This window comes from Homo sapiens, chromosome 13, assembly GCF_000001405.40.
Source record: "Homo sapiens chromosome 13, GRCh38.p14 Primary Assembly".
Classification (NCBI taxonomy): Eukaryota; Metazoa; Chordata; class Mammalia; order Primates; family Hominidae; genus Homo; species Homo sapiens.
The window spans coordinates 32,583,091-32,602,452 of record NC_000013.11 but is presented as its reverse complement, the minus strand read 5'-3'; the positions used below and the strand labels follow the sequence as shown (position 1 = coordinate 32,602,452).

General features: G+C 42.1%; 1 protein-coding gene and 1 long non-coding RNA gene across 8 annotated transcripts in view, besides 4 other annotated features; one reads left to right on the top strand and one right to left on the bottom strand.

Annotated features, from left to right (window-relative positions):
• Positions 1–16,001, bottom strand: part of PDS5B (PDS5 cohesin associated factor B) — a 191,568-nt gene extending 175,567 nt beyond the window's left edge. For 6 of the 7 annotated variants that reach the window (XM_005266298.5, NM_015032.4, XM_017020452.3 and 3 more), the window contains exon 1: positions 15,860–16,001. The gene's annotated coding sequence lies outside the window, so the exon portion shown is untranslated. Of the gene's footprint in view, positions 1–15,044; positions 15,185–15,859 lie in introns of those variants that run through there. The other variant, XM_047430186.1, reaches the window with a different exon arrangement.
• Positions 14,897–14,956: an enhancer, noted in NCBI's record as "active region_7563". NCBI's record gives its function as "activates an Ori minimal core promoter by ATAC-STARR-seq in GM12878 lymphoblastoid cells {active_cell/tissue: GM12878}" and the evidence as "EXISTENCE:reporter gene assay evidence [ECO:0000049][PMID:35858748]".
• Positions 15,187–15,436: a silencer, noted in NCBI's record as "silent region_5251". NCBI's record gives its function as "represses an Ori minimal core promoter by ATAC-STARR-seq in GM12878 lymphoblastoid cells {active_cell/tissue: GM12878}" and the evidence as "EXISTENCE:reporter gene assay evidence [ECO:0000049][PMID:35858748]".
• Positions 15,857–15,936: a silencer, noted in NCBI's record as "silent region_5250". NCBI's record gives its function as "represses an Ori minimal core promoter by ATAC-STARR-seq in GM12878 lymphoblastoid cells {active_cell/tissue: GM12878}" and the evidence as "EXISTENCE:reporter gene assay evidence [ECO:0000049][PMID:35858748]".
• Positions 15,947–16,316: a silencer, noted in NCBI's record as "silent region_5249". NCBI's record gives its function as "represses an Ori minimal core promoter by ATAC-STARR-seq in GM12878 lymphoblastoid cells {active_cell/tissue: GM12878}" and the evidence as "EXISTENCE:reporter gene assay evidence [ECO:0000049][PMID:35858748]".
• PDS5B-DT (PDS5B divergent transcript) lies at positions 16,008–17,435 on the top strand. Its single transcript, XR_001749808.1, has 3 exons — positions 16,008–16,076; positions 16,531–16,649; positions 16,884–17,435. It is a non-coding gene; the product is annotated as a PDS5B divergent transcript (long non-coding RNA).

The following is a 19,362-nucleotide window of genomic DNA, read 5'->3' as shown; positions in this document are numbered from 1 at the left end:
TACTATGTAGCTATAAAAAAGGATGAGTTCATGTCCTTTGTAGGGACATGGATGAAGCTGGAAACCATCATTCTGAGCAAACTATTGCAAGGCCAGAAAACCAAACACCACATGTTCTCACTCATAGGTGGGAATTGAACAATGAGAACACTTGGACACAGGGTGGGGAACATCATACACCAGGGCCTGTAGTGGGGTGAGGGGAAGGGAGGGGAGAGGGATAGCATTAGGAGATATACCTAATGTAAATGACGAGTTAACAGGTGCAGCACACCAACATGGTATATGTATACATATGTAACAAACCTGCACGCTGTGCACATGTACCCTAGCACTTAAAGTATAATTTTAAAAAAAAGACAAGGATTTAAAAAAAAAAGAATTTAACTGAAAAACATTGTTTTGAATGCATTCACTTCCTAAAGGAGCAAGATCAAATATTAAAACCTAACTTCTTACAGTTACATTTACATTAAAACAAAACGGACAATGTTCAAATTCAAAAGAAAAATCAACTTTAATAAATGCATTTAAACTGCACTGTCCCTTATACTTGTGCTGGCAATACAAAATAACCAACTTATTAAAAGATGTATGTGCCATCTCTAAAACCAATTCAATGTAGTTCCCTCTTGAATATACCTTTTCTTTAATCTGCTTAGCTAAAGTCAGAGCCACAAACAAATATTTGTAAAATGATCCTAAAGGGTCTTTTGGACTTGAGCTGGTCCTACCTAACCATTTAAAGATAAATGTCCAACAGCCCTATCTATTTTTAGACAGAAGCAGTTGAGACCAACAATTACATTTTAGTATTTTTTCCTCAGAGTAGAAATATCAAGAGGGGTAAAGGTCAAAGACAGCTGAAAAATGATATTTTCTTCCAGTATCACCTGGTACCATGTGTCCCACTGCTGTCTATCAGGTTGCTGCCAATAAAGAGGAAAAGAGACAACAGTAGAAATATGGCTATCCCTTTCACCAGCCTTCATAAACATTCATTAGCTCTTAGCTTTCCATCAAATAACCTATTCTTATCAAGTGTATGTGACTGAAACAATACTGAGTTTCTATCTTATTCTAAAACAAGGTGTGTATTAAGTTAGCAACTGTGTTTAACGCCCAGTTTAAAATGAATGAAAATGAGTGTGAACAGTTCTGGACATGGTGGAATAGAATTCAGCAAACTCACTGAAATAATCTTTCCACAAATAGCAATTATAAACCCTGGGAAAAAAAATACTTTTAAAGAATGACTTGAAAACAGAGGAAAGCAATCAAGAGCAAGTAGAAACTGGAGATCTGATCATGAAAGAAGGGGAAGTATAGTGGAGGAGATTCAAATTTGTACAGCATTACTCCTGAGGACACTCCCAGTTTGCAGCAGCATAGGGCAGATAGAGCTCAAGCAGAAAGCTGTTTTATTCAAGGCTACAAAGTGGCTAGAAAATCAAAGGGAAAATTCAAAGGAGAGAGCTACGGTAGGGAAGCCTCAAAAATATAAAAATATAAACTCCTTCAAATTATTTGCTGATCCCCGAACTTCATATGCTCAGGGAAGATTCCAAGGATCCCAGAAGAAAACAACAACTAAAAAGCTCAAAGAACTCAGCAGCAATTTTAGCTGCTGTCCACTGCGGAGAACACATGAGCTTTAAGTTTGGACAAGTGAGAAGGGCTTGGTAAACACCTCAAATTTTTTTGTTTTGTTTTGAAGACGAAGTCTCACTCTGTTGCCCAGGCTGGAGTGCAGTGGCACGATCTCGGCTCACTGCAACCTCTGCTTCCCAGGTTCAAGTGATTCTCCTGCCTCAGCCACCCAAGCAGCTGGGATTACAGGCGCCTGCCATCACACCGGCTCATCTTTGTATTTTTGTAGAGACAGGGTTTTGCCATGTTGGCCAGGCTGGTCTCAAACTCTTGACACCTCAAGTGATCCACCCACTTTGGCCATCCAAAGTGCTGGGATTACAAGCATGAGCCACCACGCCTGGCCAACGCCTCAGACTTTCTATAGACCCATCTTAAAACAGAAGACCAAGGTTCCAAAAATTCAATATAATCAGCCACTAATTTTAACATTCATCAAGGGAAGATAAAAAGAGTTTAGAGATATGATGTATCATATCCACTCTACAACAAAAATTTTGTATTTATGAAATGAAGCAGGAAAATGTGACCTACTATCAAGGGGGAAAAAAGAGTCAAAAGTCCATTAATACAGACAAAGGAATAAACAAGGACTTCAAAACAGCTATTATGAATACATTCAAAGACTTAAAAGAAAAATATGGTCACAATGGGGAATCTTGGCAGATAAATGGAATTTTTTAAACAAAATACTGTAACTGAAGGGTGCATTCACTGAAAACAGGCTTCACTGCACATTAGATACAACATTTAAAAGAGTCTCTGAAAAACAGAGAAAAAAATTAATACATACTCATGGACCAATTTTAAACAGAATAATGTGTAAGCAGAATCTCAAGAGGAAAAACAGAGGAATGGGGCAGAAAAGGTTTTGTTTTTGTTTTTTTTGAGACAGAGTCTCATTCTGTCACCCAGGCTGGAGCACACTGGCACGATCTCGGCTCACTGCAAGCTCCGCCTCCCAGTTTCACACCATTCTCCTGCCTCAGCTTCCCAAGTAGCTGGAACTACAGGCACCCGCCACCACGCCTGGCTAATTTCTTTTTGTATTTTTAGTAGACGGGGTTTCACCATGTTAGCCAGGATGGTCCAGATCTCCTGACCTCATGATCCATCCGCCTTGGCCTCCCAAAGTGCTGGGATTACAGGCATGAGTCACCGCGCCCGGCCGGTATTTTTTAAGTAAGGTCTAAAATGTACCAAATTTTGGGAAAAAGTATCAACTTACAAATCAAATAGGCCAGGTGTGGTAATCCCACGCCTGTAATCCCAGCACTTTGGGAGCCCAAGGCGGGCAGATCACAAGGTCAGGAGTTCAAGACCAGCCTGACCAACCTGGTGAAACCCCATCTCTACTAAAAATACGAAAAATTAGCTGGGCATGGTGGCGTGCACCTGTAATCTCAGCTTACTCGGGAGGCTGAGGCAGGAGAATTGCTTGAATCCAGGAGGCAGAGGTTGCAGTGAGCTGAGATCACGCCACTGCACTCCAGCCTGGGTGACAAAACAAGATGCAATCTCGCAAAAAAAATAAAAATAAAAATAAGCTCAGCAAACTCCAAACAGAATACAAAAACAATTCACAAATTCAATATAACTTTATCCTACTCAATATGAATGTTATATTTATATGACAATAACTTTCAACATCAAATTGTTGAAAGTTAAAGAAACAATGGAGACCAGAGAAGAATAAAATGACATCTTTAAATTGATTAAAGGAAAAAAACTGAGGCTGGGCGTGGTGGCTCACGCCTGTAATCCCAGCACTTTGGGAAGCCGAGGCAGACGGATCACGAGGTCAGGAGATCGAGACCATCCTGGCTAACACAGTGAAACCCCGTCTCTACTAAAAATACAAAAAATTAGCTGGGCGCCGTGGCAGGCGCCTATAGTCCCAGCTACTTGGAAGGCTGAGGCAGGAGAATGGCGTGAACCCAGGAGGCGGAGCCTGCAGTAAGCCGAGATAGTGCCACTGCACTCCTGCCTAGGTGACAGGGCAAGACTCTGTCTCAAAAAAAAAAAAAAAAAAGAGAGAAAAAAAACCATCAACTGAGAATTCTATATCCAGCAAAAATATCCTTGAAAAATGACAGTAAAATATAGATATATTTAAAGTAATGAAAACTGATGCTATTACTAGACCTATGCATTATGCAACATTAAAGGAAATTCTTGGTGGCATGTGCCTGTAGTCCTAGCTACCCAGGAGGCTAAGGCAGGAGGACTGCTTGAGCCCAGGAATTTGAGGTTACAGTGAACTGGGTACACCACTGCACTTCAGCCTGAGCAATACAGTGAGACCCTGTCTCTAAATAAGTTAATAAAATGGAATATTTAAAAACTACAATAATCTCAATAAATACCAAAAAGGAGAGAGGGTATCTGACAAAATTCAGCACCCATTCATAATTTAAAAATAAAAATCCTGGCCAGGCGCGGTGGCTCACGCCTGTAATCCCAGCACTTTGGGAGGCCAAGGCAGGTGGATCACAAGGTCAGGAGTTCGAGACCAGCCTGGCCAACATAGTGAAACCCCATCTCTACTAAAAATACAAAAAAATTTGCTGGGCGTGGTGGCGGGTGCCTGTAGTCCCAGATACTTGAGAGGCTGAGGCAGAATTGCTTGAACCCGGGAGGTGGAGGTTGCAGTGCGCCAAGATCACACCACTGCACCCCAGCCTAGGTGACAGAGTGAGACTCCATCTCAAAAAGTAAATTAATTAATTTGATTTAATTAAAATCCCAGTAAACTGGAAGGAAACGTCTCGTCTGATTTTCTTTTTTTTAATCTACAGAATATCCACTGCTGACATACTACTTACTGGGGAAAGACTAAATGCCTTCCCCCTTAAGATCACAACAAGACCAGGATGTTCACTCTCATTTAAAAAAAAATTCATCATTTTAAAACATATTTTATGTTAACACTGAAATTAATTTTCTTTTTTTTTTTTTTGAGACAGAGTCTCGCTGTCGCCAGGCTGGAGTGCAGTGGCACGACCTCTGCTCACTGCAACCTCTGCCTCCCAGGTTCAAGCAATTCTCCTGCCTCAGCCTCCTGAGTAGCTGGTACTACAGATGCACACCACCATGCCCAACTAATTTTTGTATTTTTTAGTAGAGACAGGGTTTCACCATGTTAGCCAGGATGGTCTCTATCTCTTGACCTTGCAACCCCCGCACCCCCTGCCGCCCCCCCCTCGGCCTCAGCCTCCCAAAGTGCTCGGATTACAGGCATGGGCCACTGCGCCCGGCCTCTTTCTTTTTTTTAAAGAGACAGGATCTCTCTGTGTTACCCAGGCTGGACTCGAACTCCTGGGCTCAAGCAATCCTCTTGCTTCCCAAGTAGTTGGGACTACAGGACCATACCACTGCACCCAGCCACTCTCACCATTTCTCTTCAATGTTGTATTGAAGATCCCAGATGCTGCAATAACATGTGAAAAAGAAATTAAAGGGCCAGGCACACTGGCTCATGCCTGTAATCCCAGCACTTTGGGAGGCTGAGGCAGGAAGATCACTTGAGCCTAGGAGTTCAACACCAGCCTGGGCAACATGGCGAACCCCATCTCTACAAAAAATACAAAAAAAAAAAAAAATGAGCCAGCCATGGTGGCACGTATCTGTAGACCCAGCTACTCAGGAGGCTGAGATAGGAGGGTGGCTTGAGCCCAAAAGTTCCAGGCTGCAGTGAGCTATGATGGCGCCACTAAACTCTAGCCTGGGAGAGTGAGACGCTGTCTCAAAAAAATAAAAAATAAAAAGAACTCAAAGCACAATCCATAAAACAAAAAGTTGATTGACTGGACTTCATCAAATTTTAAAACTTCCACTCATCAAAATACTGTTAAAAAAAAGATAAGGCAAGCTACAAAACAGGAGAAAATACTCTTAATACTCTGATCTGACATAGAATTTGTATCGTGAGTACATTAAGAATTCCTGCATATCAATAGTAAAAAGATAATCCATTTTTTAATGGGCAGAAAGCTTGAAGAGGCATCCTACGAAAGAAAATATACTGTCAACAACCATGCAAAAAGGTGCTCAACATCACTAGATATCAAGGAAATCCAAAATAAAACCACAATGAGATACCCTTCCACACCCACTAGAATAGCTAAAATTAAAAAGATTGACTAACCAAGTGTTGGTGAGGATGTAAAACAACTAGAACATTCATATATTCAGGTGGGAATATAAAAAGGAAAACCACTTTGAAAAACTAGTTTCCTGTAAAGTTAAACACACATATGCCTACAAACCAGCAATTCCATTCCTAGGTATTTACTCAAGAGAAATGAAAACACACACTTGCAAAAAGATCTGTATAGGCCTTATTCATAATAGTCAAAAACTGGATTCTACCCAAATGTCCATCAACAGAAGATAAACTGTGAAATATTCCCCCAATGAAATATTACTTAGCAATAAAAACTGATACATCCAACCCCATGGATGAATCTCAAAATATGTTAAGCAAAAGAAGCCAGATACACAAGAGCACACACTGTATGAAGATAGAACAAAACTAATCTACATTTAAAAATCAAAGAGTGTTTGGAGGCAAAAGAAATTGAATGGAGAGAGCAACAAGGAAACGTTGTGGGGTAATAAAAATGCTCTACATCTTCTTGTGGTTATTGGTTACATGTGTATAATCATCACACCTCATCAAAGTGAACAGCTAAGATCTGCACATTTTACTGTATTTTAATTACACCTCAATAAAAATAAAATTTTATATTTCTAAATAAATCTGTGAGCTTAATATTGTATTAATTTTCCTTGTCTTGGGTTGTCACATATATGTTTAGTATATATACATTATTACACATATTCAATAAATATTCATCATCTACAATGCGCTGAAATCTTTGCTAGATCCCAAAGTAACTGCAAGTCCATGGCCTCAAGAAGCCCACCTCGGCCTCCTAAAGTGCTGGAATTACAGATGTAAGCCACTGTGTGTGGCTGCCAGCATTTTCTTTTATTTCCTTATAGGTCCTTTGAACCCCCCAAACAATGAAATGTTCTAGCATCCTATTGTTAGACCCTTTGTCTCTGTGTCTAATTGATAGTTCTCTGCTTATTAACAGCTCAGTTTGGTTTATTCACGTGTCCAAAGTTCTCCTTTTCATCTTCTATTCAGGACCCAATAGGAAGGTTTTTCCAATACCTAACTCTTCTTTTAGGGAATGCATGGTGGTTCTTTCTCCTTCTCACAGACTCTGTGTATACCTCTATTGTGGAAATCCCATGCTATGTGTTACTATTTGTTTAAGTATGTGGTTCCTTCTACATAGTTGTGTTTTGAAACCCCCAGAAGGATATAACATAACATTAACATATATAAACTTTTGTGGGAGTCTAGGAATGAGGCAAATGGGGAAGGAATGAGAGGTTTTTTATTGTGTATCTTTTTCCTTTTTGCCGTCTTACTTTTGGAGTATATATGTGCATATAATTTAAAATAATAATAACCTTTAAAAATACTATATCAGAATCAACAGGATTTGGTAACTTATGTAATGTGAGAGTTAGGGGAGATGGAGAAGTCAAGATGACTCCCAGGTTTCTAGCATGATGATAAACCTAGTCATGTCATCCCCTACAACATTTTTTTTTTTAAGAAAGAAATCTGTTATTAATCAAGGTACAAGTTGGAAAGATGTTAAAGAGTAAGAGAAGGTAGATCAGTTTGGGATATATTGTACTGGAGGTGTTGTGTCCAACAGTGCACTAGAAAAAGAAGATGGGAAATTCAGGAGAATGGTCAGGGGACATAGTTGTTACTAGAAGCCTTGGAGAAGAAGACACGTATATGAGGCTAATTTATCTAGGAATTACTTATTCTGTAAGACCAATTAACAGGGATGAAACCAAGACCCACAGAATAAACTAAAAAAGCAACTATATCAAAACGACAGCGTAAGACCATATATTGGTATCCTTTTCATACAGACATCAGGCTCTCACTAAAAGATTATTTACTAATTTAGTCCCCCAGGTTCATAACAGATTAGAAACATCAAAAAAAGGTGTAGGAATAGCTTCCAGAGGCAATCATCTGGCAGCAGCATGAGGGTACAAAAACAAAAACAAATAGTTTAAGACTTCAAAAAGCATTGCATTCTTTACTCTTCATTAAAGCCAGAAATCCCATCTTTCCATCATCTAAGACTTGGTCAAAATGGTTGCTCCTTCAAGAATTTTTTCATAGTTCCTGTACTCTCAGAGTAACATGACTAATCTCCATTTGTCAAGTTTCCAATTCCAAATATTGTATTGAGCCCTTCCTGAAGGCACTAACTATACTCTGGCTTGTTTTATAAGTATTTTTATACCAGCCTCTTTCCTCCCACTTGAATATACATCTCTTGATTGAGTATCTTTCATCTTTGTATCTCTAGCCAGCACTGTGCACCACATCCTTGCACAGTATGGAAGTATGCAAACATCCATTCAGTAATTATCCCATTTTTGCATTCTCTAAAACTATGTAAATGGACTTTGCCACACAGTCTCCCTGCAAAAAGTTATAACTGCTTTTTTACTGTGTACTTACATTTTGGCACCAACCTAAGCATTTGACCTGGCTTATCCCAAACACTAAAGAAATAAGGGGTGATGGGAAGTGACAGCTAGTAGGTTCGGGGGTTTTATTTTTATGCTTTTTAACCAGCATATAATTGTACATGTTTGTGGGTTACATGGTGATACTTCAACATATACAATGTGTAATGATCAAATCGGGGTAATTAACATATCCATCACTTCAAACATTTATCATTTATTTGTGTTGGGAACATTCAAAAGCCTCTCTTCTAGCTAGTTGAAAATATGTAACAACAACACAGGTTTGAACTGTGCAGGTTCATTTATACATGGATTTTTTTCAGTAAAAGTTACAGTGCGCCTCCCTCTCCTGCCTCCTCTTCCACCTCCTCTCTCTCTTCCACCTTGCCACCCTCGAGACAACAAGACTAATCCTTCCTTTTCCTCCTTCTCCTCAACCTATTCAACAGGAAGACAAGAAGGCTGACGACCTTTACGATGATCCACTTCCACTTAATGAATAGCAAATATATTTTCCTTCCTTATAATTTTCTTAATAACATTGTCTTCTCTCTAGCTTGCTTTAAGAATACAGAATGGAGGCCAGGCGTAGTGGCTCACACCTGTAATCCCAGCACTTTGGGAGGCCAAGGCGGGCGGATCACCTGAGGTCAGTAGTTGAAGACCAGTCTGGCCAACATGGCGAAACCCCGTCTCCACCAAAAATACAAAAATTAGCCGGGCGTGGTGGCAGGTGCCTGTAATCCCAGCTACTCCAGAGGCTGAGACATGAGAGTCGCTTGAACCCATGAGGCAGAGGTTGCAGTGAGCCGAGATCGTGCCACTGCACTCCATGTGTTAACTGACTGTTTATGTTATCAGTAAGGCTTTCAATCAACAGTAGGCTATTACTACCAAAGTTCAGAGAAATAAAAGTTATATGTGGAGTTTCAACTGCACAGGGGTTGGTGCCCCTAACCCCTTCGCTGTTCAAGGGTCAGCTGTAGTCACCCAGTACAACACTAGAACTTATTCTTCCTATCTAGCTAAATTTTGTAGCCTTTAGCCAACCTCTCTCTATCCCTTCTCACCTCTTGAGGAGCCCCCATAATATTCTCCGTAATGGCTCTACTCATTTACATTTGGTTTGGCGTTTTTCACAGAAGACAAAAATGTTCCAAAATCAGACTGTGATGATGGCTGCACAAACCTATGAGTATCCTAAAAAATAATGAATTGTGTATTTTCAATGGATTATGGTATGTGAGTTGTATCTCAATAAAGCTGCTTTTAAAAATGAGGTTTCTGCTGTTAGTCCCACTGTTCAGATTAAGAAGTTGAGATTTAGTAAGATTAGGTAATTGCTTGTTTAGCTAGAGGAGATAAAAACCCAAGCTGTCTTGACTCTTAAGTCTATATGCTTAAATTAACCACCATGCTCTTCTGCATTCCTTAGAAAGGGACCCCACTTATCAAGCATCACATCCTGATATATCATAGGAGCATATATTGTGATATATGCTCCTATGTTCAAGTCTTAAATGCCAGTGACCTTCCGAATTCCAACTACAGCTATAAAGACTTGACCTATTTATGTTACCCCAGAAGGCTAGGAGAGTCGAAAGCTGAAAGGAATAGTACCAAAGAGACAGAGGGGGAAAAAGTGCTCAAGAGCTTCTACTTAGGCCAGGGCGCAGTGGCTCACGCCTGTAATTCCAGCACTTTGAGAGGCCAAGGCGGGCAGATCACCTGAGGCCAGGAGTTCGAGACCAGCCTGGCCAGCATGGTGAAACCCTGTCTCTACTAAAAATGCAAAAAATTAGCCAGACGTGGTGGCGTGCACCTGTAGTCCCAGCTACTCAGAAGGCTGAGGCAGGAGAATCGCCTGAACCTGCCAAGGCCGAGGCTGCAGTGAGCCGAGATCACACCACTGCATTCCAGCCTGTGCAACAAGTGCGAAACTCCGTCTCAAAAAAAAAGAAAACCAAAAACTAAGCACACCTCATCTCTGGGGCATTTGAAATACCCAGGTCCAGGCTGCCATGCCTGACAGGAAAAGAGGAGAAAACCAAATGACAGTATGAATAAAAATGAAATGATAGTTGAAGGTGGGAGGGAGAAGTGATGAGACAGGATAAGCAGATGGTACAAGGTGGGGTTGACTCTATACAAAATTTATTTGCCCTGACTCTCAAATCTCCCTTCCTGTGTGTCGCTTCAGCTTCTCTTCTACCTTATGTTTACACCAAGTCAAGGGCTTTCAATACTCTCATACTGACCCAGAGTTGTTCAAAGCCAGGTGCTGTAGCCTCTCCATTCAGAGCATTGCTCCCCGTCAAGGTGCCATGAGCCCCAAAATATTTTTCCTCTTCTTAAAGTCCCACTTCTCTCAGACCATCTTAGCTCTTAGGTAAGGGTGAAGGTAGGTGGTGGGGGCAGCAAGTAAATTAAACTAGCATTAAACCACTTGATTAAAGAATATGTTGCAAATGGCCTCCCCCTAATAAGCATATAAACAAATGTTTACCTTCACTCACAAAGAAATACAAACCCAAAACAAGACAAATTTCATATATCAAATTGGCAATATAGTTTTTTAAAGTCCAATGTTGGTAAATACATGTCACAGGCATTCTCATACGCTGCTGGTCAATGTAAACTATTACAACGTAGTACTACTCAACAGGAGTCAGAAAAAATAAATTATGTTATAATAAAATATTCTTATTATTTCTTAATTATGTTGATCTGTATGTGCCAGTATGAAAAGAGCTTGTGACTTAACTAAGGAAAAAAGTAAATCACAGTTAAAAAATAAAACAGTAGGCCGGACGTGGTGGCTCATGCCTGTAATCTCAGCACTTTGGGAGGCCGAGGCGGGCGGATCACGAGGTCAGGAGTTTGAGACCAGCCTGGCCAACACAGTCTCTACTAAAAATACAAAAATTATCTGGGCATGGTGGCACACGCCTGTAGTCCCAGTTACTCAGGAGGCTGAGGAAGGAGAATCACTTGAACCCAGGAGGTGGAGGTTGTGGTGAGCCAAGATTGCCCCACTGCACTCCAGTCTGGGCAACGGAGCGAGACTCCATCTCAAAAAATAATAATAATAATAAAATAAATAAATAAAATAGTAAATTACAGTACAACAGTATAACAATACTCTTTGTACAATTTTTTTTAAAGTAAACTTTTAAGAAACTGTTAACAGTGGATTACCTGTGGGGGGAGGAAAAAAGTAACATTTTTTACTCTATCATTAAATTTTTTTTTTTTTTACCATATACCTGTATAACTTTTAACTTAAAATACACAATTCTTTAGGTACTCTATTCCCCTAATAGAGTACTTAAGGCCTGCAACTCTCACCCCTGCAATTTGCCCAGCATCTTGCCCCTGCAACTTGCCCCTGCAACTCTCACCCCCACACCCAACCCAAAGCATCCCATATCTGAAAGCTAACTGAAACTACCTGGTAGAACTTCAGCTACTAAATAATATTTTGGAGATATGGAGCTTTCCTTTAAAATATCTTCAATTACTTCCCTAAAATCACCTCTGAGGAGAAAGAATCCTATCTTACCTAAGGAAACACAAAATCTCATTTCTTTTCAGGTCCCTAACCATCCTCTTCTAGAGAAAGACAATGGTCTTGGTTATAAGAGCCCCTCCTTCTCCTTATGGGATCTAATCTTGGCTAATTTCACTCTCCCACATAAAAAGAGCAACCTCAACTGCCACTGAAAAGGAAGGAGGGCCTGCTCCTTCGGAACTAAGTAACAGCAGAGATCCTACTCTCTGGTCTGTCTCAGCTCTCATCACCTTGCTGTGGATGGCCAACCACTACTCTGCACTTCTATAGGACAGGGTGTCTTCAGTCCTGTTTAGTGCATCATCCCTGGTACTGTATGTATATGGAAGTTTTGTACCTGTTCATTTTAATTGAATCAGGTAATTATCCGTCAAAAAAGAGAATGGCAGGCTAGTGGAATACTTTTAGTCCTTAAAAAGATGCCTCAAAATAGTTTCTTACTTTAATCAGTCTTTCCCCCAAGCCTGTTAGCTTTTATGTTTTACATAGCTAAACCAAGTATTTTTAATTACTACTTATTATTAATGTCTAATTATTAGAACACAATGATTATACTTTTTAAACCTCAAAGGCTTTAAGATTTGAACAAATAAATTTTATTCATCTAAGTTTTATTATCATGATTTTTTCACTGTGCACGATCACTCATGCCAGCTAAAACAATTACAGTCTCAACACAGCAAATTTATTCTTAATTCTGAACTAATTAATGAGAAAGGATTCTAAAACCTTTTTCAAGTAATGGGGGAAATGGTTAGAATCAAGTGGTTGTAACAGAACAGTGTGAGGAAAGGGCTTCTTACCTCTACTCTCCAAGGAGTCAGAATTGCGAACCATTTGGCAGCTTCTTAAAAAGTAAATACACTCTCAGAGAAACTACTGGGCTTGTTTTTAAACTAAGTATTTTTGGAATCTTTAACATTCCCGAACAGGAATACGAAAACCAAGTAAAACGCCTATTGTAACTAGAAGTGACAGATGACTTGTGTAGCAAACTGAGTTTAAAAATGAAAAAATACACGCATACTCATGCACGCACTATATCTTGTAACAAAACAAAGGTCAATACTAACTTTCCCAAATTACTCTTAGAAGTTTCACAAAGAATAAATAAATGCCATGTCAAGTAATGTTACATAAAGAAAGACGGCTCCCGGAGACAGAGACCTACAAGAGGCTATCTTCTGAGACAACCTAAATGGACTGAATCCTAAACAGAAATTATTAAAAACCAGACGCTGAAACAGACGGCTAACCACAAAACTTTATTCTTGGTTAAATGAATAAAAAGGTGAGAAGGGGATGGAGGGTAATGTACTACCCTGAATTTTTATTAATAAATATTGCTAAATCCTGAATAGAACAAAAAAAGACAATGGGGAAACTTCTAAGCTTCCAGGATATCTTAAGGGCTGCCCCAGTTCCACCACATGAATATGACTGTGACCTCAGATAAATCAATGAAATTAAAATCTGAACCTAATTTCTCATGTATAAGTGAGTTGGAGATCATCCTTAAGTTTTCTTGTTGCTCTTTAACACTAACAGAGGAAACACAAATGTATTCTTTTCCAATATACGTTATATACAGTCCATGTCATTCAAGAGTCCGTATGCCAAATCATACTGAGCACTCCTGTTAGTTCTAAGGCAGTCTCTAAATTTCCCAAGAGGTAAAGCAGAAAGAATACAGCTTCCCGAAATATTCCTTCCCCACAAAGTTTTGGGTATTTTCTACCATTGCACCCCTCTCCAGGGCAAGCCCTGCCTAATACAGAGTATCACTTTATCTTAGGCCTAACAAATTATTGATAAAGCCTACTGCTCAAAATGTTACTTCGTTAAACAAAGCTGCAGAACAATTTAAACAACTTTCATCCAACAGCCAACTCGGTAGAATCTTATTACAAATAAGCTTAATACAAACATCTCCTAACAACAATCACTATCATCACCACATCTCTCTCTAATATGGGGAGAGGGGAGAGACATAACACGAGAGAACAAAGCCTACAAGAGTAACAAAAGCTGCTGTAAAAGAAAAGTTAATATAGGGAAAATCAGCCTTAACCGAAACAAGGAGAAAAGAAAAAAAGAAAAAAGGCCAAGACAAACACTACCTTCCCATTTAAAATATACCTTTAAGTAAACGCCAGCTGAGAAGAGAACAATTTTTAAAACCATCAGAAAAAGGAGGAAAAAGTCACTATTTTGGTAATTTTTATAAAGTCTAAAGTGCATCTTGTTAGACATATTTGTAAATGTATATTAAGTACAAATTTTATTTATAAGGAATAATGTTCTTAAGATGTGTTTTTACAGTTAAGTTTCTGAGACTAAATCTATCTTCACATAAAAGTTCCCATGTAATTTTCACCTACATATTCAGCACTACAAATTTTAATTAGGTTTTCTGCTATCACCATGAGATACAAGATTAATTGTTGCACGAACTGACCTGCATACACCATTGAATACTCATTTTATTGTCCCTAAAGATGCGAACATCTCAGACATGTGTACTGCATGAAGAGCTGTCTTTCAAGTCCATATTTGTGGCTTTTAATTACTTTACCTGACCACTACATGAGTTAATATAAAAAACGTTCTGTCTGGGAACTCGGGATGTGTTAACTGAGAACAATGACTATACTGCCGTTCAAGCATTGGGTAATTACGATTTATTTACAGCTCGCCTCCTGTATGTAAACACAACTTGAGTTTTTGAAGTTCATTAGGAAGATAGTATAGGATTACCCAACTCTCTCCACACCGCAGACCAACCCTCTAAATTAAGGCTATACCCAAAGTTTTCGAAACTATTTCATCAACAGGGTAGGATCAGTCTGGGCACCACTGCCCATCCATCACCTCTTATTAAAAGTACGAGAAGCACTTTCTTCGACATAAAAAAGGGTTAACCCTCGCTGGGGGAGAGAGGCTGTTGAAGACGCGCGTGGAGTGGGTGGGTAGCTGCTCTACCAACCCTTCCCGGAGCTCGCCCCGTCCGCGGCAAGGAACGCAGCAGCCTGCAGCTCCGAAGGCGAGGGGCGGCGTTTCTGGTTTCAGTCATTCGTCCAAAATAACTGTCGAGCTACTTAAGAGTTAGCTTTCACGTCTCTACCAAAAACCAACAGCAGTAGCAGCAACAACAACAAACAAGGTTTTTCTCCGGACCGAAAACTTTTAAAGTAACATTAAAATAACAGTGTAAAAACAATAACGAGTCACAATTGCACACCATTTTCCCCGCCGTTCCTTCTGAAAGGAAAGCTAGAACCCAGTTGTGGCCTGGGAGGAGTCCCTCCACGCCAGTGCTGGGCTCTTCCTCAACTGGCTGCTCGGGGACCACTCGGGGTGGCGCGGTGAGCGCGATTTCCCTCCGGCGAGCGGCGAGGGACAGTGCAAAAATGTCACGCTCAGCCCGTCCCCTGGCCCGAAGCGGAGGCCAGGCGGCGCGCGGGGACCCGGCGGCGGGGGCGAGAGCGCCCGCGGCCCCGACCCGCGGTCCCCGCCCGCCCCTCGCCCGGAAGGGGGAGAAGCCCGCCCGCGGGAGGATTCAACAGGAGCACCGCGCCGCCCGCCTGCCGCCCGGGAAACAGCCGCCGGCCGGCCGGGGCGCGGGGGGAGGGGCGCGGCGGCGGCGACGGCGGCGGCGGGAGGGCGCGGGCGGCCGGGCGGCCCCGAGACCCCCGCCCGCGCGCAAGGTCACCGCCCGCCGCCGCCGCCGCCCCGGCCGGGATCAGAGCGGCAAGTTTAATTTTCCAGAGGCTGCGGCAGAACCCGCGGCGTGGAGGCGCGCGCCGGCCGCGGGGCCCTCCCCACCCCCACCGCGCAGCCGGCCCGCGCCCCGCGACCCCCGCCCCGGGCCACCGCCAGGCAGCCACCCGCTGCAGCCCCCGATGCCGGGAGGCGAGTCGCGCCTGGCACCCAGGCGGGCGGCGCTTCAGCCCTGCCACACACACGCACACAGCGGCAGTGGCGGCCGCTGAAAAATGGAGCGCCGCAGCCAGAGAAGAGAGACATTTTCTTTCCGTTAACTGAATTGTTTCCTACCTCCGGGTTGCCGACTCGCTACTCCGCTCACTCCGGGGCTCTCCGGGATCCGCCGCCGCCGCCGCATCCAATCGCCTTCTCCCCCCCCCTCCCCTTCCGCAGCCAGCCCTGCCGTTCCTCCTCCTCTCCGCTTCAAAATGGCGCCAAGCGCTCTTCGGCGGCTGCTCCAATCGAACCGCCGCGGACAGCACCCGGGGGCAGGCAGAGCGCGGCATGGGTGCGCAGCGCCCCCTGCCGACCAGACGGCCCCGAGCGCGTCCGCCCTCCGAGCTCCACCCCGCCCCGTCCGCGCGCGCGCACGTCCCTCCTCAGCCCCGCCCCGTCCGCGCGCACGCAACCACACGGGCACGCCGCCGCGGGGCCCGCGAGAAGGGCAGCTGTCAAGGCGTCCACTACTCTTGCGGCTTCCTAGACCTCTACCGACAAAAACCACACCGATTGTTACGTAGCCCTATCTTTTTAGATAAAGGTTGGGAGATTTTTTTAAACCCTGACATTCAGCACAGGTGTTGTGATGGGTAAACAGAATTGGTATTATTAACTACTTTGCTCCTTACTTGTTAACTCTGACCTAGTCGTCTCGGAATGCCATACAAATAGTTTTCCTACACTTTACGTGTTATGTCTTTATTAAATCTCCCCGCTTTCCTAATTTGAGGAATTGTTTATAGGTGGTAGGCTGGCGGAGACAGAGTAATTGAGCCTGTGACGAAGCATTCCATTCCTTTGGCAGAATTGTCCTTATTAGAGGAAGAAATCATCTGGAGACCACAGGGACACATTCCAGGAGGTGGGTCTCCTCCCCTCTTCACCTCTAAGGGATGCCAGTCCCTCCTGCAGCTGTAGAGTGGGTTTAGCCTGGTCACCACAGCAGATCACCTACCTTGCGGGAAGGTTTCCTCCCCAGCCGGGTCCCTGCCAGAGCTGAAGAAGGGACTTCCTCCTCTTTTTACTTTAATACCATCCCTGCTGTAAGGAAGTTTCCCCTGATATGATGTATTTGGTTACTAGAATTTTGTTCCAGGGAGAATTTGTTTCAACAATGAACAAGCAAAGTGTGAATGAATGGATTACAGTAGGATACTTATCAACTGAAACAAAAGAGAGGTAATGCTGATATATAAACTAATGCTACTGTGTTAGAAAAGGTATGTACATCGGTATTCCATCGGACCCGGGCACCTAGAGATACTGAGACCTCTTCATTTCCATTTTTGTGGGATTCGCTGGACAATTCCGCCTCAGTCTCCTCCAGTGCTTGCTAGACCAATATGTTGTGTTACTGTATTCCTGTGTCCAAGATTTTGCCACTGAATACTCCAGGTTCTACCCATTTTATACATTCCTCGATGAAGTCTACTATGAGTTTTTTCTGCCCTCTTTTTAAAATTATCTCAGGAATTTTCTTATTTTACATCGTTGTTCCATCAACATAAATCTTGTATGGGAGAGTAGGATGTCTAGATCTAGAAAAACCTTTCCTCTTTGGTTGTTTTTATTATGTTTTTTACTTTATTTTCTTCAATTCCCAAACCTCCAAAGCCAGGAAGCCAGAAAGTTTCAGAAGAAAGCCAGGATGAAAGCAAGAATTTTTTTTTCTTTTTTCTTTCTTTTTTTTTTTTTTTTTTTTGAGATGGAGTCTTGATCTGTCGCCAAGCTGGAGTGCAGTGGCGCGATCTTGGCTCGCTGCAACCTCCCTCTTGAGTTCACGCAATTCCCCTGCCTCAGCCTCCCAAGCAGCTGGGACTACAGGCACACACCACCACTCTCAGCTAATTTTTTGTAATTCTTAGTAGAGACAGAGTTTCACCATGTTGGCCAGGATGGTCTCGATCTCCTGACCTCGTGATCTGCCTGCCTCAGCCTCCCAAAGTGCTAGGATTACAGGCGTGAGCCACCATGCCCGGCTAAGAGTTTTTGTATAAATTATTCAGTGCTCTTATCCCCATTATTTGACACCTGGAAGCCTCAGTAAATATTTTGTTGGATGTATGAATTGTTTAAGAATGTCACTCTACATCTTGTATATGGCAGTGAGTCCTGAAAGGGCTGAAGGTGTCACGTCAACTTTGTGAGCAGTTTTGCCAGTTTCACCATTAACCCTCTCTCTTATAAAATGATGCCTTGAATTTCAATGAGGCCCGGAATACATATTGCCCACGTTAGGCTGCTAACACCACAGGATTAAGCCCAAGAAAAGAGTGGGCAGAAAGGAGATAGCCTTCAAAATAGCTACATTGTAAGGGTCAATGGGGCAATTACCATTAGGACAGACAGAGGAAAAACCCTAAAGCTTTAATGAGGCATAGTTTCTAACAAAAGGGCATACTTTTATATGACTGCAAGTGGCTTTACAGAAATCAGTAATATAAACCTTCATTTAAAACAATATTGTTTGGGAAAACTAAAATCTAAAGTTGATATTTGAACAAAAATAATCTTCTGTGTTTGGGATTTTTAAAAATAGCCAAGTTGCAATTCATTAGGAGCAACATAACACAACATTGTTTAAGACAGTTTAAGAGTGTGAACCATTCAAAACTCAGTTGTGAATGCTTTCTACACCAAGAAAGAGAAATTATGTGGGAATTATGTCCAAATGCTGGTTTTATACAGAAATGGTTAGGAGAATTGTCTTTGATTATGAATAACCACAAATGTAGTTCCCACCTCTACTAATTTTACTTTGTCACTATAACAAATCATCACAAAGTTGGTGGCTTAAAAGAGCACAAACTTATTGTCTTACTGGAGTGCAGAAGTTTGACAGGTATCTCGCTGGGCTAAAATCAAGGTGTTGTCAGGGCTGTGTGTCTTTCTGGAGGCTCCAAAGGAGAATCCCTTTTCTTACTATTTCCTTCTTCCAGAGGCTGCCCAGATCCCTTGGTTCATATCCTCCTTCCTCCATCCGCAAAGCCAGCTCCATGGCGTCTCTCTGACCTGCTTTTGTCACCGCAGCTCTTCCTCTGACTCCCTCATCCACTTTTAATACTCTTGTGATTATATTGGGCCCACTTGGATAATCTCTAATTTAAGGTCCATTGATTAGTGACCTTTATTCCCCTTTGCCATGTAACATAACATATTCAAAGGTTTGGGGATTACGACATGGATATTGTAAGGGGACCATTATTCAGTCTGCCACATCACTCATATTTGAGTTACCTGGGCTTTTTTTAATAGAGTCCAAATTTGAGGTTAAAGAGGTTAGCAAGTTGAAAGACATCAGGAATGCACACAATTAACCTGGACAGTCCTAAATATACCCCTATGGCCCCTACTGCATTTTGAGTACAGCCTTGCTGCACTACAGCATGGTTTCCAAAATATGGTGAAATGTTTATCATATTATACATAGTAGAGCACACTGGGCAGCTAATTAGTAAATGATAAGACTGGGCCCTACCTAGACAAACATTACCGGTTCAGCATAATTCAAGGTATGTCCCAAAGGCTAGTCAAGACAAAAATATGATCCCTGTTAGCCTGCAACAGTGCTGAAA